At 41.2% G+C, this 22841-nt stretch overlaps 1 protein-coding gene across 17 annotated transcripts in view, besides 2 other annotated features; it reads right to left on the bottom strand.

Moving 5' to 3' along the window:
- The window catches only part of GARNL3 (GTPase activating Rap/RanGAP domain like 3), a 169048-nt gene that overhangs the window by 94305 nt on the left and 51902 nt on the right, over window positions 1–22841 (bottom strand). For all 17 annotated transcript variants that reach the window (NR_104591.2, XM_047423963.1, XM_011519086.4 and 14 more), the window contains one exon: window positions 8114–8188. Coding sequence is in view for 11 of the 17 variants with exons in the window: in XM_047423963.1 (XP_047279919.1) it covers window positions 8114–8188 (75 nt within the window). In the remaining 6 variants the exon portion in view is untranslated. The remainder of the gene's footprint in view (window positions 1–8113; window positions 8189–22841) is intronic.
- Window positions 5436–5485: a silencer, noted in NCBI's record as "silent region_20301". NCBI's record gives its function as "represses an Ori minimal core promoter by ATAC-STARR-seq in GM12878 lymphoblastoid cells {active_cell/tissue: GM12878}" and the evidence as "EXISTENCE:reporter gene assay evidence [ECO:0000049][PMID:35858748]".
- Window positions 13832–14039: a silencer, noted in NCBI's record as "fragment chr9:130047596-130047803 (GRCh37/hg19 assembly coordinates)". NCBI's record gives its function as "represses an EF-1alpha promoter that drives an FKBP-Casp9 reporter gene in an ReSE screen in K562 erythroleukemia cells {active_cell/tissue: K562}" and the evidence as "EXISTENCE:reporter gene assay evidence [ECO:0000049][PMID:32094911]".

The raw sequence follows: 22841 nt of genomic DNA, 5'->3' as shown, positions 1-22841 counted from the left end.
TCATTTGGTACTAACTTTTCTCTTTCTTTTTTTTTTTTTTTTTTTTTTGAGACGGAGTCTCGCACTGTTGCCCAGGCTGGAGTGCAGTGGTGCTGACTGCAAGCTCCACCTCCCGGGTTCATGCCATTCTCCTGCCTCAGCTTCCCGAGTAGCTGGATCTACAGGCACCCGCCAGCACACCCGGCTACTTTTTTTGTATTTTTAGTAGAGACGGGGTTTCACCATGTTAGCCAGGATGGTCTCAGTCTCCTGGCCTCGTGATCCACCCGCCTCAGCCTCCTAAAGTGCTGGGATTATAGGCGTGAGCCACCGTGCCTGGCCTGACTTTTCTCTTTCTCTCTTTTTATTTTTGGAAAAGCCCTGTAGACTTTTTGTGGGAAGCATTTCTGTTGACTATTTTACAGATCTAAAGTTGAGTGAATTTTCTGAAAGAATTTGAATTTGGCTTCCTCACCAGTAATACATCTTCTTGCTTCTTTGATGTGATAATCTTGAGATAGGTGAGAATCTAATAAATTTGTGGTTGAATTTGCTTCACTGTTAGCAAGTCGACTCTGGAGGCATAATAACATACTGTCGGTAGGACTTTTTTGAGCTACTCTGGAGATTATTCAGTAAATTATATTAAAAGCCTTAAAACCACATGTACTGTTTGAACCAGTAAGCCACTTCTTTGATATTATTCTAAAGAAATAACCAGTCTCGCATAAAACTTATGGATGAAGGTGTTCATTACAATATTATTTATAATATAAAAAATTACAAGTATAAAATGGTAGAAATGAACAACTGGGAAATAAAGAAGTGATGGTGTATCACGTGGTAGAGTATTATGCATAGAGTTAAAAACCATATTTTCTAAGAAAACCTGGAAGCAGGCCGGGCGTGGTGGCTCATGCCTGTAATCCTAGTGCTTTGGGAGGCTGAAGTGGATGGATCACCTGATGTCAGGAGTTTGAGACCAGCTTGGCCAACATGGTGAAACCCCGTCTCTACTAAAAATACAAAAATTAGCCGGGCATGGTGGCAGGTGCCTGTAATCCCAGCTATTTGGGAGGCTGAGGCAGGAGACTCGCTTGAACCCAGAAGGCAGAGGTTGCAATGAGCTGAGATTACGCCATTGCACTCCAGCCTGGGCAATAAGAGCCAAGACTTCGTCTCAAAAAAACCCCAAAAAACCAAAAACAAAAACTTGGAAACACGTTTGGTGATATCAAGTTGGGGCAGACCCCAGATACATTTTAGACATTTATTTTCATCGCTGTTTTGAGTGGAAGGCCATTCAGAGAGGCTAGAGGTTTTTGTTCCGGCTATAAATTGTGTGAGTAATTCTATTAACCAAATAAAAACAATACACACCCATGCTCAACAGATAGTTTGGGAAATAGCAATTGAAACATGTCTTTCTCATAAGAGAAACTGAACAGTTTTAATGAGTACATTCGATGAATTTAAACTTTAAGTCAGGTGCTGCAAATTGAAAAGAAGACTTGTGTTTTAAATTGCTATAGACAGCTTTAAGAAACTAAGAATCCATGAAGCCACTGTTTATTGCCATGCAAATTACAATCTGGAATGACTTTTTAAAAATAAAAAAATGTGTAATAAAGATGTAAATTTTAAAAATGGGATTCTGCATTAACTGAATTTTACTAAATAGAATTACCTGGTGGAGCAAATTTATCCATCAAGATCATTCGGTATGTGTTACGTATGTATTCTGTTGGTGCTAGAAGATGTCTATGTGCCTATATCAACACATGTGACTTCATGTAAAGCTTCTTAATGTTCACAGTTCTTAGCAAATGCAGTTTCAATTCATAGATAGCTAGCAATGGATGCTGTTATACTATAGGAAAATGTAGGATTAAAATTGTCCTTGTGTTAAAAAAGAAAAAAAAGAAAAAAGAAAATATAGGCTGGGCTCAGTGGCTCACAGCTGAAATCCCAAAACTTTGGGAGGCTGAGGTGGGCGAATTACTTGAGCCCAGGAGTTTAAGATCAGCCTGGGCAACATGGCAAAACCCCATCTCTACAAAAAATACAAATATTAGCCAGACGTGGTGGCCTGCGCCTGTAGGCCCAGCTGCACAGAAGGCTGAGGTTGGAGGATCACCTGAGCCATGGAGGTCGAGGCTTCATTGAGCCATCACTGCACCACTGCACTCCAGCCTAGGTGACAGAGGGAGGGAGACCGTGTCTCAAAAAAGAAAAGAAAAAGAAAATACAGTAGACAGGTGAATTATGTTCAATAAAAAGACCTTTCTAGAAATTAAGAGATTCTGAAAAATGGAATTAACTGCTTTAGGGGTGTGGTATAATGGGAATACGTATTTGGTCTTTGTTAGTGGTTCCTAGCACAGAGCTCCTGAGTGATAAGGGTGACAGGAACATCTTTTGTTCTAAGGAGGGGACTCACAGGGGGCTCCTAGATAGCTGCAGGATCGGGGGTGGCTGCCAGAAAGACTAAGCCTTGATTGGAAACTTGGAACTTTCAGCTCCATACCCCAACCTCCAGGGTGAGAGAGGGTTTGAAGATTGAGGCAGTCATCCATGGCCAATGATTTAATTAATCATGCCTACCTGGCCAGGCGTGGTGGTTCATGCCTGTAATCCCAGCACTTTGGGAGGCCGAGGTGGGCAGATCACCTGAGGTCAGGAGTTCGAGACCAGCCTGGCCAACATGTGAAACCCTGTCTCTACTAAAAATATAAAAATTTGCTGGATACAATGGTGGGTGCCTGTAATCTCAGCTACTTGGGAGGCTGAGGCAGGAGAATTGTTTCAACCCAGGAGGTGGAGGTTACAGTGAGCCAAGATCGCGCCATTGCACTCCAGCCTGGGCAACAAGAGCAAAACTCCGTCTCAAAAAAAAAAAAAAAAAAAAAAAAGTCATGCCTACCTGATGAAACCTCTATATAAACCCCTAAATCATGGGGCTTAGGGAGCTTCCATGTTGGGGAACATATTGAGGTACTGAAAATATGGATACAACTGGAGAAGGTATTGAAGCTCCATGCCACCACCCCCATACCTTGCCCTATGCATCTCTTCCCTTTGGTTCTTCCTGAGTTGTACTCTTTATAACAGACCAACCCCTGGTATTGGTCCATAGCCTCTTAGGAACTGGGCTACACAGCAGGAGGTGAGTGGTGGGTGAGCAAAGCTTCATCTATATTTGCAGCCACTCCCATCACTTATATTACCACCTGAGCTCCGTCTCCTGTCAGATCAGCAGCAGCATTAGATCCTCGCAGGAGCATGAACCCTATTGTGAAATGCACATGCGAGGGATCTAGGTTGTGTGCTCCTCATGAGAATCCAATGCCTGATGATTTGTCACTGTCTCCTATAACTCCCAGATGGAACCGTCTATTTGCAGGAAAACAAGCTCAGGGCTCCCACTGATTCTACCTTATGATGAGTAGTATAATTATTTCATTATATATTACAATGTAATAATAATAGAAGTAAAGGGCACAATAAGTGTAATGTGCTTGAATCATCCTGAAACCATCTCCCACTGCCTGGTCCGTGGAAAAACTTGTCTTCCACAAAACTGGTCCCTGGTGCTAAAAAGGTTGGGGACTGATGCTTTATAATATATCAGTAATAGTAAAAAAAAAAAAGTGCTTTCATTAATTCTGTGAGTGATTTTAGGGAGTTATGGAAGCTGAGGAGGAGGCTGTGGTAACGGCTACCTGACTTTGTAGCCAAGTTGGTAAGAAATGTGGAATGTAGGTAATCTGGGGACCCAATGCTTGTGACTGGCTTCTGAAATGAGGACAGTCTTGTGGGACTGAGCCCTTAAACCTGTGGAGTCTGACGCTAACTCCAGGTAGTCGGTGTGAGAATTGAATTGTAGGACACTCAGTTGGTGTCAGAATTGATTGGTGTCAGGAGGAAAAAAGTCCTATAAAGGAGGTATCAAGTTTCCCATTACTGGAGATACACTCAAGCAGGAACAGATCAGCTAACTGCTGGCAAAGCTGATGCAGGAACTCATGCATTGGGAAGGGGATTGGCCCAGATGAACTCTAAGGCAGGAAAGTATGGTCCATTCTGATGGATGCCAATCTGCAAACTGTTTACTAGTCCATGACAAGGTGTACAAGAAACCTTTACAGTGTTCTGACATGCCTGTGGCATGTAAGTACATGTTCAGTGGATTCATCTCATGAAACTGTCCAGACCAATCTGGATGATATCCAATTCCTTGATGAGTTGCATAAGGTGGGTTCTGTGTACTAGTTATGCAGAGTAGGATCACATATTTAATTTCCTGCAACTGACCGGAAATTGAAAAGATGGACAGTCTGAGAAGCACTGTTCAGAGGCTTGGCCTCACTGGCTGTCGCTGATAAGGGCTTTCTGACGACCCCATCTTAAATAGGGCTCTTCCTGTTTCTTTGCACCATGGTCCTCTGTTTTTGCCACAGTAGTTACCAAAATTTGCAATCCTTCTATGTGTTTGTATTGGTTACTGATGGCTCTCCCTGCCATCTGCAGGCCCCTAGGAGCAGGGACTTCAGCAGGCTTATTCAATCCTACATCCAGGGCTCAGCCTGTCTGGCACTAGGAAATGACCCTATGAATGCCAGTTGAATGAATGTTTTGTCACATTATATGAAAAGCACTCCCGATATAACTTATGTTTTTGGTAATGGCAGGCTAGGTTATTCAGATCAACCCTCCCACTGAAAAAACTAAAAGTACTAGAAAAATATTAAAATCATCTCCTTAAAAGCACTGGAGGCCGGGCGCAGCGGCTCATGCCTGTAATCCCAGCATGTTGGGAGGCCAAGGCTGGCAGATCATGAGGTCAGGAGTTCGAGACCAGCCTAGCCAACATGGTGAAATCCCATCTCTACTAAAAATACAAAAATTAGCTAGGCATGGTGGCTCACACCTGTAATCCCAGCTACTTGGGAGGCTGAGGCAGAAGAATTGCTTGAACCCAGGAGGCGGAGGTGCAGTGAGCCGAGATAGTGTCACTGCACTCCAGCCTGGGTGACACAGCAAGACTCTGTCTTGGCCGGGGGGAGGGGTGGGAAAAAAGCACTGGAGTGCTTACCAGATTGTAGGAATTGCCAATTAAAACTGAAAGGCAAGTGGGAACGCACAGAGGTAAATGCAGCATGAAAGTCCTTTTTGGCTTGAGGATGTTTGTCAATCCCAGCAAAATTGAATTTGGATTTTGGTGACCTTGTTGGGGACAAAGAGTCAAATCCCAAGACCCACTGGGGTAGGCAAGTCCAATAGGAGCCCTGCCCCACATTATGCTAGGATCCCAAAGGGCTGCACACTGAAGGAAGAGGGAATCAGAAGAAACCACCTCCACCACCAAAAACTACAAGGAAGTTGTCACAGCACCGAGCAGAGCTGAGCAGGGGAGTGTCTCTGAGGTGTGGTGACCACAAGCCAGCTTTCACATAAATCTGTAGTTGTAATCTGCAGCACTTTGGTAGTTTAAAAGGTCTCAAGATGGGTATTTGGTTTAAAGGTATCTATCTGGCAAAAGCAAACATAAGTCCTCCCTACCAAAAAGCAACTCATCTTAGGCTTTATATTATTCCTAAAAATTTTCAGGAACAATAAGTAGCACACAATCAGGCAGCCTAGCACACGCAGAAGCACATTACATGAGGAGCATAGGCCAGAGGAAAACAATGAAACAACAGCCACAAAAACTTCACATATTGGAATTCTCGGTCGCAGATGATAAAACCATTACACTATGTTTAAAGAAATAAAAGACAAATTTGACATTATCTCAAGGGAACAGTAAACTATAAAAAGTGACCAAGCAACCTTGGATTAGGCAATGGTTTCTCGGACATGACAACGGACGTGCCAGCAATGAAAGAAAAAAAACAGACAAACTAGACATGATCTAATCTTAAAGCTTTTGTGCTTCAAAGGACACAACCAAGAAAGTGAAAAGATAACCCACAGAATAGGAGAAAACTTTTCCCAATCATATATCTGATAAGTGTCTAATTATCCAGACTATATAAAAAACTCTTACAATTGAATAATAAAAGCACAAATAACCCAAAAACAAAATTTGCAATTTGTTTGTTCAGAGGTTTGAGAATTTTTAAGCAACTATATATAGTGAGTCCTTTACTGCACTAACTGCTTTACCTAATTCAGAGAAAGCCAGCTGTTTTTTCCCTCTGGAAGTCAAGTGCCCACAAGGTCTTTTATCAGGCTAGAAAGTACCATTGGCCAGAAACTTTTAACTGAAGACCACCAATACAAAACAGCCAAGGTGCTCCAATGGAGCATCATGCTCAGTAGTTTCGGTGGAAATAAAACCTAAAACAGTATTCGATCCTTGATATTATATTTCCAGAGAAGCAATTTGAGACGGACTGTGTTTTGAACACAACAGACTGCAATGACTTGTGAAATCAGTAACTCCCCCAAATTGTTCCCAAGATGTCAACTGAACTGCCCAAGGCCACATTGCTGGTGAGTTGTAGGGCCATGATTTGAACCCTGGGAAGTCTGACTCTTAAGCCACTCCTGATCATGACCCAAGCACAGGTTATTTCTAACCCCTGACTGGGTCCCAGAACCTATCCTCTGGTGTATGGCAGGGCCAGGTGAGCAGTGTTTGACTGCCAAGTGTATGGTGATTAAGGATCACATGAAGGCCCCATTGATGTCTTTCCTGGGAGGTGTGTATTTCCTCCAGACACTGGATGCGGCAGGGGCCAGAGTTGTGCTTACGTAGGGTGGCAAAGTCCAGTTTGGTTTGTCCATTTCAGGCTGGGCTGAAGTTCTGCAAAATTTTGGTAGCAGAAAGATGTCTCAAGGTATACAGCCTCCATGGGCTCTCAAAGTAGAAACTCGGCATGGTGGCCGCTAGCTTTCCAAGCACTGGAGAGCAATAACTCAATGCCTCTGTGCCTGGCTTAGCTCCTGAGAACCCTTGGCTGCCTGAGCTTGTGGTGGTGAGGCTATCTAGTCCCAGGGGCCAGGCCATTTGGAGAGGGATGTTTCTAAGGTTCAGAAGCAAAATTCTCCATGAGTTCCTTCTTCTATGTGGGTCAGCTAACATCATTCTGAACAAGAAGTATGTGGGTACCTATTCAGGGGTATTCAGCCTCCATTTGGCTAACATGTCAATGGCAAGGGTCAGGTAAATGTACATGGCTAAGGCCAAGAGTGAAAACATGCAATCACTTCCCAAATGTCATGGGCTTTCAAGTTAAATTCATAGCTCTTTACCGAGAATTTGCATTAGGAGGTGGTCAGGAGAAAACCGGCAATGTGGCAGTGATGACAATAACAATAACCATCAATAGCATCATAACTAGCACTTCTGAAGCTTACTATGTGCCAGGCATAGTGCTAGGAGTTTCACAAACATAGCTCACTGAATTCTTGCAATAATCTTGAGACAGTTTCTAATTTACAGATGAAAAAAAAATGAGGCTCAGGGTGGCTGGGGTCCTTGCCCAGGGTCAGGGTCAGGGAACTAGAGCTATGATGAGCTACCGTGTAAAAAGGCAGCAAAGAAGAAAAAGGCTGGCGAGTTTTTGCCATACTCTGCAGTTTAAAGGGTAGACCCCGTGGGATAGAGAGGGTAGTGGCAAAAAAAAAAAAAAAAAAAAAAAAGCAAGGTGAGTCCCTGTGGCCTGCAGCAAGGAAGACCCAGAGAGCCCAGAAAGTAGGCGTGGCCCAAGGAGCAGTAGGCAGTACCAGCCTCTTTTCCTGGTGACATTTTGTCATTGCAGTAATTTTTGGCATCTCCCTCCTGGACCCTGGCACTGCTCGGATGGCTGTGCCAAGCTGATCAGCCTGGCAGAGGAAGTACTGGGACTCGGGACCATTCACAGAGGGTGGCAGAATTGTCTTTGGTCCCACTGCTGGCAGAACAACTTCCTGTGTCTACCTGGTTTTAACATAGATCTTTTAAAGGGTATGTGTCACCCTATGAATAGCACCTTCCATGCCAGAATACTGACATTTCCCTTCCATTTGCTTCAAGCAAAGCTCTGAAAAGCTCTATTTACCTCTTCCAGAACTCTTTCACTGCTATATCCCAGGCACTATAATCATGTGCTTGGTGGCATTACAGGAAGTGGGGAGGCTTCCTTACCTCATCTGAAGAGCCATTTTCCACTCTGAATCTTCCAGCCCTTTGGATGGCTCCATCAGCATCACTGGAAATAAGCTAGGGGGGAAAAAGCATTCAATTAGGAAGCATTTACAATGTCTCTTCTATCTGTATGTAATTATCCTATAAGTAAGCCACATCTAAGGACACAGGCTGGAGTGCCCAGCCTAGAAGCTAACAGTTTTTTTAAAGCTCTATCAGGCAGGTACTCATACAGTTGGCTCCCACTGTCCTTGGGAACCCAAGAGTAAGGAATGCCTAACCTGCAAGAGTGGAAAAACAAGAGCATCACATTTTAATTGGAACACATTCCAATACTGATGCTCCCAGCAAAAACAATCTTAATACACACCACATGTGGACAAGTGGCAGTTCACAGATGGCAAGACCAAAAGCCAACTCTCAAGTTCAGCCTCCTTCACAGGAAAGCCTAAAGAACAATTAGTGGCTGGCAAGAACTCAAGGCTCTACTACCATCGGAGAAAGCGCCTGTGCTTCATTCAGTTTTAAACAGTTTCCAAAAGGCCAATTAGTCCCTCCCCAGGCAGGCAGACTGTGTTTTAGCTCTGGCAAGGTGATGCTTGCAAATAGACAGTCTCCAAGGGGCCCAATGTTCGAAAGAGGTGAGTGAACACACCAGGGCTTGGCACTTGAGTCCAAAATTACTGACTCAAGATTTAACTTATTTTCTCCTTCTAGATTTTCTCAGTAGTGACTTGGGAAAGCAACACATCTTTTTTTAGCCTTTAAATCTACCCACAATTTGCAACAAAGATCTGCAGCAGACTCATCAGAACGCATCTGCCCTGAGGGGCACTTCTCACCTCTCTAACTCAGAGCTCACTCAGCAAAACAGAAATGTGATTTCTCAGGAAAGATGGTTACCTCACGTTTTCACTAGTGCTTAAGAGATACGATGGTATAAAAATTAATAGAAAAAATTTAGGGAAAAACTGCAATGAATTTTCTCAAGGAAAATTACTTAAAAGAGATTGATAAATTTTTCCTACGATAAATATAGAAACAGTATCTGGTATTTGTTGAATGCCATGCATTCTTTTGCTCTTAATATGTATTATCTCGTTTAATTCTCATAATAACACAAGGTAGGTATTATTATTATTCTCATTTATGAACGAGGAAACTGAGGCAGAGAAGGGTAAAATAACGGGCTACAGTCACTTAACTAGTTAGTACAGGTAGAGCTGGGATGTGAACAGAGGTAGCCAGACCCCAGAAACCCATTGTCCTCATCTAACCACCACCCTCCCTAACCATCTTCCAGAGAATGTCCGTGATTAGGTTCAGTTTTTATATTTCATCTTTCTCCTGCAAAATAATTTCTAAAAGCAAATGTTTTTTTGATGACATCAGATCATTACACTATTCGCTAAACTGAGGATGAGCCCAAGAGGCTGTGTAGTCATGAATTTCAACTTGTCCAAACAGAGGTCTAGCCTTTGCCCTCAGCTTCTGGGAGGTGATCTCTAAGACCTGGGAATGACCTGTGTTAGTGTCTGATTACTTAGGGGCTCTGAGCCACACTGATTTATAGTGAGGGCTTTGGGTCACACAGTATCAGCTCTACCTCTGAGGGGTGAAGGCTCAGGTCAGCCACGTGGGTGGTCAACCACATCTATGGGATCAAGCCCTGCTAAAAACTCTGGATACCGCAATTCAGGTGAGCTTCTTTGATGAGCAACATTCCACTCGGTGCTGATGTTGTCACACATCATCGCCAGGAGGAGTTAATGCTGTCTACAACTCCATCAGGAGAGGACAATGGGAAGCTCTGCAATGGAACTCTCCCGAACTCTGTCCCATGCACCTCTTCCCTTGGCTAATCTTAATGTGTATCCTTTTGTTGTAATAAATCATAAGTGAGCTTAGAAGCTTTTAGTGAATTCTGTGAGTCCTTCTAGCAAACTATCAAACCTGAGAGTGGTCTTGGGGACTCCTGAACGCTGTAGTAGTTGGTGTCAGAAGTGAGGGTAATCTGGTGGACTGTCTCTAACTTTACAGAGGCCAATTTTAAAGTACAAGAGAAAGATAAATTTAGATATCATAGGGTCACTGCCGTTTTCACAGGGGAAGTATAGAGGATTCAGCATCAACAGCTTCTTTGTGGGTTTCTACTCACTGTTAAAATAGAGGGAAAAGCAAGTAGATTTCAGGTAGAGTGTTACTGGTATAGGCTGCCTCAAGGGCTTTGGGAGAAGCATTCTGAGATGACATCTGGACTTGGCAAGAAAAGAGCACTATGATCAATTAATAATGTCTGACATAGGTCTATAAAGACGTGGGACACACCCTCCCCTTACTTGTTACCCTTAAAATAGAGGTTGCTAGAGACAGTCCTGACTATAACTAGTCTCATCTAGGAGTCGAAGGCTTGGGAGAAGAGCTGATAGTCATTCATTCATATAAAAATATAAATTAAACATCATAAAACACTATATTTTAGACACAGGCATACGTAATAATGCTCTTTTCATTTGTTGAGTTTAGAACAGGAAGCATATTGCTTGTCTTGCTTAAAAAGTTCAAGAAAAAAAGGAAGAACAAATTTAACGATTTGATGGTAAAAAGAAATTCAGCTCCCTTTGAACTCATGAAATCCATAAAGACAGAGCTCATGCTAATGGGTTTGACTATCACCGTTACCATTTCACCATCCCCATCTTCATTCAAGTCACCATCATCTGTCACCTTGATGACCACAACCACCTCCTACTGAGTCTATACACCCATCTACCACTGCTCCTCTCCAAGCGGCTCCTCACAACGAAGCCTGCAGCCTGGGTGATTATGCAAACTGCAAATATGACTGTGCCACAATCCCACCTCTATTCCAGCATCCCCACTTCTTCTCACCGAAGGACACATGCTTGGGACTTCCTGGCTTGGAAGGCCCTCCTTTCTCACCTTCCCCTAAAAAACCCTACTACTCATCCTTCAGTTCTACCAAAGTCCCCCTCCTTCTGTATACCTTCCCTGACCCACTGCCTGGGAAGATGACCCTGTTGTCAGTTCTTGGGGCACTCTGCAGAGTTGTGATTTACATTTCTCTGCATGATTATTTGGTTCCCACCTGTCTTTCCTCAGGCGCTCTCTCCGCTCTCCAGCAAACTTCAAAAGACAGCAACTACATTTACTTGTTCTCACCACTGCATCTCCAGAGCTAAGCATAACACCTGACACAGTATCGGTCTCATTAAATATTCATAAACAAGAAATATGGGAATAGATGAATGCCAAATTTCTATTGCAAATGGCCAAAGGGATATAAAAACAGGGGTAAGACCTATACTGGCCCTGGAAAGCAGAGAAGGTTCATTAATCATGCAAGAAATGTCAAAGAAATTCTACCAGCTCTATCATGAAGGAAAGGCCAAAGTGAAGGGCAGGCCAGATAACCGGAAGCACCACAGGCTGGGGAAAGTCGGTTGGGCAGTAACTTAATCAAACCATGCAGGTTCACACCAACACCCTGAGCTCATGCTGGCAGGACCTGCCTGAGGAGAGCATGGGTGGGAGGGCAGTAGGTGGGCAGGAGATCCTACTGGTCACACTCAGGGCCAGCACAGAGTGGCAGTCTCAGTGTCCCCCAAGCCCGGCTGGCTCACACAGCTTGCTAACTAAAGCAGAGGGGGCTGTGGTGGCTGGGGCCTGATGAAGACCAGTACGTCAGCTGCTGTGAAAGGAGAAAGTGCCCCAGCAAACTGGGGAATGAAAAAACTAACACTTCAGGAAGAAAATCTTTTTAACGCAGTACAGAAGCTGATTATCAGGTAGCTGTCTCTGTCCATTTTCTTTCTATTGTCCTCACAAACCTTTGATCTGGCCAATTACAACTATAAAAAATCTACACTTTCTTTTTTTGGGAGAAGATTTGGCTCAGGAATGACACAATCTCTATCAGAACCCATCTAAATGTCAAAACTGCACAACCTAGAAGCCCTCTCCCTCAATTCATTAAGATGGTACAGAGCTCCAGCTGCCACCAAAATCCACTCTCGCCATTTGTCACAGTGCAGAATCATAGCTGGACACAAAGCTAGACCCCATTTCCCTAGAGGTGGCCATTTGACTGAATTAATTCCACTTGAAGGTGGGCCAAAGCTCACCTGGGTACATATATGGACCCAGGCCCTTTAGGAGAGGGGAGGTACCTCTTCCATGCACTTTTTCCTTCTCCACTGGCTAGAACCCCAATGACCAGAGGGATCTGGAAATTCATGTTGAAGACAGCAGATTTTCTTGAGCCTGAATGTGTGGTGCAGACCCACCACCCACTTAGAGTTCCTGGCTGCATATGAGAGAGAAATAAACTTGTTGTTTTTTACCGCACTGTGACGTTCTAAGCCAACTAATACACCCAATAAGGAAGAATCAAGAGAATAATCATTGATCCTATGATAAGTTGATAGTATAAAATGTAAAATCTGAAATATCAGAGAAAATGTTCTACAAGACAGATTTACTACAAAAAGTCCAAGGAATTTTTTGAAAATTTCCAATTATGGTAATAATTTGGGAGCATATTGAATCTATGAAAATGGGACAATCTATAATCAGCTTTCAGATGAAAAGTGTAATTACTGAATTTCAAAATGTAGTGACCATGGTGAACCAAAAACTAGAACTGAGAAGAAAATGCCCGTAAAGAGTAAATCAGAATATCAGTTTGAGACAAATAGAGGAAAATGATTATGAAAAACAGAGAACATATCTGGGAAAAACTGTAAAGAATGGACTGGGGTGTTACGAAAGTGGTCCTTGGGCAGAGAACAGAACACAGGAATAAACAAATCATCTCCTACACTAACCACCCTCTCTAGCAAGGTTCTCTACTAATGAGTGAGACCAAGACTAAAGGAGAACTACTAGTGAAGGTAGATCAGCCTACATGGTGTAGAAAGAAAGAAGACAGGAAGGCAGTCTGAGATCTTACCCCTCCAAAGCCAGCAAAGAGGAGGGAGTTGGTTAGGTCTCCTCTCACACTGGAATGCATCCAGCCCTTTGTTATTCTTCTGGGAGAAGAGTCCAGAAAAGAGACTTTTGCATGTTTGCATGTGTGCTCTGACCTTTGCAAATATAGCTCTGTCTATCCAGGAGTTTAGTACTTAGTAAGATGTTATCTAATCTGATCAATCCAGATCTGCACTCCTGAAGGATGGAGTGAGAGGGAGGGATAAAATGAGAAAGTGGATAAAGAGGAGCCTGGAACTTCTCCTAAAGGTAAACAGAACAGCACAGATGTTTTAATAAATATGAATTGGTTACATTTCCCTACTAAAACAAAAAAGACTTGATCGGTAACATAAATGAAATATATTAAATACAATAAAGCAATCATGAAAAAGAAAGGCAAAGTAAAAAATATTCTAGGCAAATTGGGACAAAAAGAAAGTAAGGGAATAATGAAATCACAAAGTAGAACTTAGGAGAAAAAGACATCAAATAAAAAATGTTATTTTATATGGATAATTAGAACCACCCATCTCCAAAATATAACTATAAACATTTATGTAATGAGTAACAACATATCACTATAAAACAAAAACTATTATAACTAGAAAGAAGAGTTTATAAAATTATAATTGTAATGGGAAATTTTAGTACATTTCTCTCTGATAGGTCAAGGCAAAAATGAGTATGGATTTATAGCGGAATCAAATCATAAATTTAATAAACATGATTTAATAGACATATATGGACTGTATCAAGGTACAGAGAATACACACCTTTAAAAATATCTAGTAAACTTTAAAAAAACCGACCTAATATTGAAAAGAAAGAAAAGCGAGTTTCACTCTTGTTGCCCAGGCTGGAGTGCAATGGCGTGATCTCAACTCACTGCAACCTCTGCCTCCCGAGTTCGAGCGATTCTCCTGCCTCAGTCTCCTGCGATTACAGGCATGCACCATCATGCCCAGCTAATTTTGTATTTTTAGTAGAGACGGGGTTTCTCCATGTTGGTCAGGCTGGTCTCAAACTCCCGACCTCAGGTGATCCGCCCACCTCGGCCTCCCAAAGTGCCGAGGCATGAGCCACCATGTCTGGCCCAGAAAAGGAAGAAAAAGTTCTACAGAACAATATAAAATAAAAAACTTCTAAAATATTCTATAAAATTGTACAGGTCATTTTTAGCATAATGCAACTGAATAAGAAATTAGTATCAAAAGGATTTTAAAAACTGAAAATCAGAAAATATGCATCTCAGCCTATTGTGCCTATTGTCCCAGCTACTTGGGAGGCTGAAACAGGAGGATCGCTTGAGACCAGGAGTTCAGTGATATAGTGTGCCATGATCACACCTATCAATAGCCACTGCACTCCAGCCTCGGCAACACAGTGATATCCCATCTCTTTAAATATATGCATATATAAATTTATTTTACTATTCCTATTTGACTCAAGAATTTATATATGTATATATGCATGTATAAATTTATTTATATGCATATATTTATATAAATTCTTGAGTCAAATAGGAATAGTAAAATTAGATACTATTCAGATGTGAACAACAATAAGAACAGTACATATGAAAACACATAATGTGATAGGTGCTATATTTACAGAAAAATTCACATTTTCAATGCTTTTATTATCAAACAAAAAAGGATAAAAACAATGAACTAAGCATTAACCACTAGAAGATAAAAAAAGAACAATGAAATAAACCCAAGGAAAGCAGGGGAAAGGAATCAATAAAAGATCAGAGCAGAAATTATAAAACTAGAAAGATAGTATAATTGATTAACATATCCAAGATACTCCAAGGCAAGTCTGATTTTAAAAAGCAAAGAACAAAGACAAATACATATAGTGATAATAAAGAAAATAGAACCACTAAGAAGAAAGAGATTTCTAAAAGATTAAGAGAATGAAATTATATTCATTCATTCTATATGAAATTATGCCAATATCATCAAAAAGTTCAATGAAATGGCAAATTTTCTAGGAAAACATACACAATGAAAAATATTTTAAGAAAGAAATCTGAGTAGACCAAAAGCTAGTTGCAAAACTGAAGATCTTGTCACAACACTGCCCCACAAAGGCAGCCCTGGCCCAGAGCATCTTCTGAGGAGGTGAAGGATCTGATGCTCCACACCGGAGCTACACGAGAGCCACATGAGAGCCACATAAGAGCCACACACTCACAGAAAAGTGGGGCAGTTTCCTTTGAGAAGAGACACCAGATCTTTTGCATTCATTTTGATGGATATGTTTAGGAAAAGGGTATTAACATGTATGTGTAACATCACTAATGCTAAGAAAAGAGGACAGGATTTTTTAAACTTTATTTGGTCTTATATCTCTGCTATGGTCATACACCAAATACTCAGATTCTGAGGAAGACCGTGTCCAGGAGGGAGAAAAAGGAAACAAACAAACAAACAACAACAACAACAAAACGACTTAAGTGATCATTTGGCTAGGATCTGCCAGGCACTGTGAGTGATTACTTCTGAGTTCTTGCACTGTCCAATACTGTGGCCACCAGCCTTGTTTAAATTAAATTAAATTTTATTTTTTATTTTTTGAGACAGGGTCTTGCTCTGTCTCCCAAGCTGGGGTGTAGTGGCACAATTATGGCTCACTGCAGCTTTGACCTCCTGGGCTCAAGCAATCTTCCTGCTTCAGCCTCCCAAGTAGCTGGGACCACAGGCACATGCCACCACGCTTGGCTACTTTTTTATTTTTTGTAAAGACAGGGTCTCACTATGTTGCCCAGACTGGTCTCGAACTCTTAGTCTCAAGTGATCCTCCTGCTAAGGTCTTCCAAAGTGCTGGGATTACAGGCGTGAGCCACTGTGCCCAGCCTAGATTTAATTTTAATTAACATAAAAAACATTCAGTTCCTGAGTGCACTAGTCACATTTCAAGTGCTCAGTGGCTATGTGTGACTACTACACTGGACAGCACAGATAAAAATATTTCCATAATTGTAGAAAGTTCTATTGGACAGGGCCACAACCCTGTCCAATTATACATATTTTTATGTATAATGACATGCTGGACATTCATGCAGCTCTGGGTGACCCAAATCAAATTGGTTTCCCATTCAGTTAGTTAAGTAGTGAAAATTCATGTGATTTAACATCCTGAGTGGAGGCCTTGGTCTAATCTCAGCAAAACTAACTGTTTCATTTAACACTGAACAGTGTTCAATATATTAGATGTTTTATCTCAGGAAAAAAAATAAGATCCAAGCAAGAATACTTGTTTGTAGAACTTAACAAATTAATTTTTTTAAATAGAAAGCATAAAATGTTATTAACTATAAATAAAAACATTATTAGTTTCAAATTGTAGGCAATTATTAAATGAGGATCTTTCTTAGATTAATACAAATATGTAATTTTTCAAAAACAAAAAGCACTTCCTCATTTATTTTACTGCTTTGTTTCACTGGGTTGGTGCTTGTTTCCATTCTAAATCAGTGCTGGTATTCCCTATGATCTCTGTTCAGCATGCACTGTGTACTTGGCATTCAGGTATATAAATCACAGGAACAATATTTTTACTTAGAAAAAAAACTCAAAAAGATTATGTAAAGTACATCCTTAAGCATAATATGTAATATTTTCTCCTAGATCCCCTTTCTTTAAAATGAGGGCTTATGAGTATGGGTTTTGGGGCTCAACTGACCAGGTTCAAATCTCACTTCCATACTTGTTAGCCATGTGACCTTGGGAAAATCACTGAATTTTTCCTCTCTAAATTTTAGTTTCCTTATGTCTAAAATGGGGACAATGACTGTACCTACTTCTAGGCTTGTGGTGAGGATTTAATAATGTAAAATGTATAACGAGCCTAGAATAGTACCTGGACATAATAAGTGCTCAATAAATGTTATAATGCTATAATATATATTGTAGTAATATGATAGTGATTAATATAAAATGCTCTGATTAGCATGATTAAGCCACTTTATGCTACATTTAAACTCTTGGAAGATCTGTTTAAATATTTGTCCATTTAGCAAACATTACTGAAACCATTTTTTTCAGGGCCTGTACTAACTGCTGGACAAAGATAAATCCAACATGATCCCTGCCCTAGAGGACTGCAAATCCTAGAGGGAGTAAGAGACACACATACATATAATCAGATAAATCACAACACAACCTGGTTAAATGCCATAACAACAGACAAAAGAACAGGGGACAGACACTGGAGAGACCAACTCTGCCTGGGGGAACTGGGGAAGGTTGCATTGCTATAATGCAATTTATTCTGGAAGATGTATAGGATCTTTGAGAAATGATTTCCAACATAAGCTGGTTTATTTAAACTGCAAATACTGGTCAAGAAAGCAGATCCATTTGACCCTGCACATGCAAATTACAGACAGACACAGACACAGACACATCCCTGACTTAGAAAGTACTACTATTCAGAAAGGAAGAAAGAAAAGTTTAAATGTCTGCATCAAAAAGAGGGGGTGAGAAAAGGCATAAACATGGGTAGAATGAGCCATCCCCTCACTGCTGAGTGCTGCCCTGGGGCCTGTCTCCTGGTCTCTTTTAGTCCACTTCTGTGCCTGCAGGGAAAGGCAAGGGAGAAGGAGCCAGTGTGAGGACCAGAGTAGGGGGAAGGGGTAGGTTTTTTTCTCCTCCTCCCACTCCTCACCTTGATCCTATTCTGCCTGTGCCGGGGGACAGGGAGATCCGGGTGACTGGGCAGCTGGGCAGCTGGGTGCTGAGAGCACCATGGCGCATATAGAACCAACCAGGTGGCAGGCAGATTCCCCAGCCAAGAGGATAAATGTTGGCTGGAGGAGAGCCACCAAGGCCCTGGATCTGGACTCAGACTTTTCTTATCATCCTTGTCCCTGGCCCCTGTCCTCAGCAAACTCAACACCCATCGCTATGATTGATCTGACAGCCTGAGCTCATATTCTTCTGTCTTTTCAAATCGAATACCTCCCAACTCCATGGCTCTGCCATCCATTCCTAACTCCAACAGCATCCTCTCCTTCTCATTGGCACAGCTGTGGCATCATGGGACCTACCTTACCTCATAACCCACTCGGGCTCTTTTTGGCATGGGTTCTATCTGGGGATCTGTGGTTAATCAGGCTGCACTTACCACCCCACATATCTGGCATGCTGCTCACTCCTCCTCGTGCCACCAAGTCAAGTCACTCGCTCACACCCTGCCAACTGAACTCTCACTCTTTTTCTGTGTTCAAAGAAGAGTTTCCATCTGACCAGGCCTACAACATGCTCATGCTATTTGATTATGGCTAGATCCTCACCACCATCCAATCTTCTGAGCCATTATTTTTGTACTTCCCATCACATCCTCCACCTTATCTGTCACATGTTACCACTACAGAAACACCCTTTCTCCTAACAGATGACCTTTCTGCTATTTTACTGAGAAACATGAGGCAATTCAGGATAAGCACTGTCATGTAGCTTTCCAGCTCAAAATATACCTGTCTTGGCTTTCTAATTAAAATCATATCTGAACAGTAGTCCCTGATACTCCATTTCCCAGTAAAAGACTTGTGAAAATTCACCACAAATGATGACAACTCCTTTGAATATTAAGAAGGAATGATTGGCAATTCTACGTCCAAAATATCAAGACATTTTCTACTTACTATACGGCCAATGGAGAAGAATCGAGAAACGTATTTGGTGTCTGGCTTTGTTGCTTGGAACAGAACAAATCTGTGGTAATTATGGAAGGTTGGAAGGCACTTTAATCTTCCCCACACCATCTAATTTTAGCTAAGAGACATTGGGTCTTTCAGAAGAGTAAGAATAAAACACTAGGAATCATCTTTTTACTGCATGGACACTGCATTTTGAGGTAGCCTCACTCGTACAAGCACCTCTTTTTCATGACAAGAAAACACTGGGCAAGAAGTAGGGAGGGAGAGTGAGTCCATCTTAGAGAATGTGGTCCTCATAAACCAAGTGCCCCAGGTAGGGAGCGAGACATGGAGAGTCCTGAGGGCAGAGCATCCCAGGGAGTTTAGTTTCCCCAACATGCCAAGGGGCTGGGGGAGATTTAACCTCTTCACAATCTGCATCCTGTTTTTTGATCTAGACAGCTGGCATTTTCTCAGGCTTATGTAAAGAGCTAAGCAAACATTACTTCAATACGCCTCTTTCAACCAGACTGCTACTGGTAGTTCCTAAGCCCCTGTTATGTATAAATTCTAGAGCCGCTGGTACAGAGCAGCAAAAAGCCAAGCACAGGAGAATATCCTATCTCACTCCAGCAGAGCTTTATAAGATAAACACCAACTAGACCCTGGAAATTGATCAAGGAGCTTTGTATAATCTCCAGCCAGCCAGTTGTTTAACTCAGAGAAGCTACAGTCCCAAATGAACAATGATAGCTGAGAGCCAGTTATACATTCTGAATGTTGAAAAAAAGGTCTGAATAGCTCTTTGTTTTTGTTTGAAGTAAAACAAAAATGAAAACAAAACAAAAAAAAATGGGGGCTATGAAAAAATGCTACACATAATCCTGAAAACTAAAAGAGGGAAGCATACCTTTAACCATCTTTACTATGAAACCAAAATAAAATTTCAGAATAGCCATTGCTGTCCTCAGGGAGACAGAAGACATGAGCTCTTTGCAATAGTGTAGAAACCTTGTGCAAGTGGGTGAGATAAAAAAGGATGAAAAAATGCAAATGTAGGATTAAAATCTTCACTGGAGGAGGAAAACAAAATGTTAATTTTAGGGAACTAAAACAGTAATATCTCCATCATTTTAGATGCTGATTATAGAATGGAAAGGAACAAAACAAAATGAAAATAAAAAGAAAGAAAAGACAGTCATGGAGGACAGAGAAAATGGTCTTTACCATTTTAGGGGAAAAAACAAGCAATAATCAAAGATATAACAGAAGAAAATATTCATCCTTGATTAAAGGACTGGATCTAAGAATCCCAGAGGTGCAATGTTTTAAGGAAAATTAATGAAAATACAAAGGTGCAGATAAATTATGGAAAACATGTAAAAAATGAAAGATGAAAAGAAAAAAAAAATGTAAGAAAAACCCAGCCAGGAAAGGTCACCAAGAAAGAAACTGAATTGGAACTGGCTCAGATTTCTCTTCAGAACACTAAAGGGCAAAAGGTAACTGTACTGGTTGAATAGTGTCCCCCCCCAAATTCAGGTCCACCTGGAACCTGAGAATATAATCTTATTTGCAAATGGGGTCTTTGCAGATGTAATTTGTTGATATAAGGTCCTACTGGATTCAGGTAGGACTTAAATCCCATGACTGATGTCTTTATAAGAGAAAAAGAGAGGGTGATTCAGATACAGAGACACAGAGAGAAGGCGATGTGATAACAGAGGCAGAGACTGGAGTGACGCAGCTACAAGCCAAAGGGGGTTAAGGATTGCCGCCGCAACCCCAGAAACTAGAAGAGGCAAGGAAGGATTCTTCCCCACGGCCCTCAGAGGGAGGATGGCCCTGCTACATCTTGATTTTGAACTGTTAGCCTCCAGAACTGTAAGAGAATAGAATTCTGTTGTTTTAAGTGACCCAGCCACCCAGTTTGTGATAAACTCTTACAGCAGGCCTAGGAAACTAACACGATAACAGATCAACATTTGTGAAGTTTTAAAGGAAAAAGGTGATGACTCAGACACTTAAAAGCAGGTAAAGTTGTTCTTGTGAAAGCTATGAATCAGAGACATGCTCAGATATGTAATGATTAAGAAAAGATACCCTCATGTACAGCCTTAAAAACTTACCTGAAACTCCAGGACAAGGACACCTGCAACTATTGCTATTTATGGTTGCTTTGGAGGTCATAGCCAATGCAATTACACATGAAGACGAAAAAAGAGATTTGCATATAAGGAGATGAAGTCATTTATGGAAGACAACTTTATGCCTAAAAAGACTATACTTTGTTTTTAAGTAAAGAAGCCCAATAAAATACATAAACCCATTTTGTATACAAATTTAATTACTAAATCGATGTGTACTAAATCGTAATAGTGATTATTTGTAGGATTACACATGAATTTAATTTTCTTCTCTGTGCTTTTCAGTATATTTCAAATTTTCTATAATGACTATGTATTCCTTTCATAATCGGAAAAATATATTAAAAAGTATATCAGCATCACATGCACATACACACAAAAATACTATGAAGTAATATAAAAAATTTAAGAAAAAAGAATTTATTAGAGAGATTTTTGGCAAAACTCATCTTCTAGCTGATTTGTGGATGTCTGGCACTGAGCCAAGTACTGCTGGGGATACAATAACAAAAGCACCATAATCTCTGCCTACTAGGACAGGTAAAAAATGCCCACAAATAATGACAATGTAAAATATGACAGGTACCATAGAGAAATGCAAACAATTGTGGGGTTCTAGATAGTGAAAGATGACTTTCCCATAGGGGAATCAGGTAAGGCTGCATGGAAAAAATGACACTCAACAGAGGCATATTTCAAGAGGGCATTCTAGAACGATGAAAAAGTATAAGGAAGTCTCAGGCCTGGGCAATGGTGGGTAAAGGTCCGTTTGCTGGATCATGGGCCACATGAGCTAAGTAAGGCTCAGAGATAGGTTGGAGCAAGACTGCAGAAAGCCTTAACTGTCAAGCTGAAGACTACCTACTTTATTTCATAAGCAAAAAAGAGATGCTGAAGGTTTGCTGTTGTTATTACAGCAGGAATTTGTTTGCTTGAATGCATAAAGATGATGTTGCCAGAGCTGTACATTAGGGAAAGTACTCTTTACAGCATTAAGGAAATCAAAGCTCCCAGGATTAGGTTAATTACATCTGAGGACACGGACACACTAGATGTAATCTTATCAAGAATTTGTTAAATGGAATTTTTGAGAAGTCAGGGAGAGCAAGAGAAAGTGCCAGAAGCTCAAGGAAAGAGGAAATGATACCAATGTCACACAAAAGAAGGACTACATAGAAGCAAACATCCTGTTCTTTTCTTACTTGTATTTCTTCAAGAGTCTAAATAAGAAACACATAAGGAATTAAAAGTCACTTTCAAAATGTAAGCTTGTAAAAAATGCACACTACTCAGCCCACTCCAGATATGCCAAATCAGAACACGGGTTTTAAACAAACTGCTCAAGTGATTTTTATGCATAATCAAGTTTGAGGGGCACTGGAGCAGCCTGTAACAGCAGCAAGATCATGGATCTTTCAAGTAAATATAACCTATTGTGGATGGGAGTTGGGGGACACCCCCTACAACTTACCAGTTGTGTGACCTTGGACAAGTTAATTTACCTCTCTGAATCTCAGTTAACTCATCTGTAAGATGGGGATGATAACAGTACTCCCACCTCATTAGGTCATTGTGAAAAGTAGTTTACACATACAAAGCACTCAAAAGGCTGTCTGACACTGGCTGTACACAGTGATATGAATAAAGAGCAACTGGCCATGAAATCCATTGAGAATATATAATAGAACCAATGGGATTTGGTAAGAGACTGGGACATGGCTATGTGTGATTTCTTGGTTTCTGGAATTAGCAACTGAAAGGAAGATGGTGTCATTCACTCAGTGGTTTGGCACAAGAGAGACAGGGTGAGTTCAGCTTGGGGCATATTGCAGTTTAGTTGCCTATGGGTCATCCCAGGAGAGACTGCCAGTGGGCATTTAGGCAAATGCGCCCATGCACAGAAATCTGTGGATAGAAATCTGGACTCAATATATGGATCTGG

Source organism: Homo sapiens, chromosome 9 (genome assembly GCF_000001405.40).
Source record: "Homo sapiens chromosome 9, GRCh38.p14 Primary Assembly".
Taxonomy (NCBI): Eukaryota; Metazoa; Chordata; class Mammalia; order Primates; family Hominidae; genus Homo; species Homo sapiens.
This window is presented reverse-complemented; position numbering and strand designations above follow the sequence as displayed.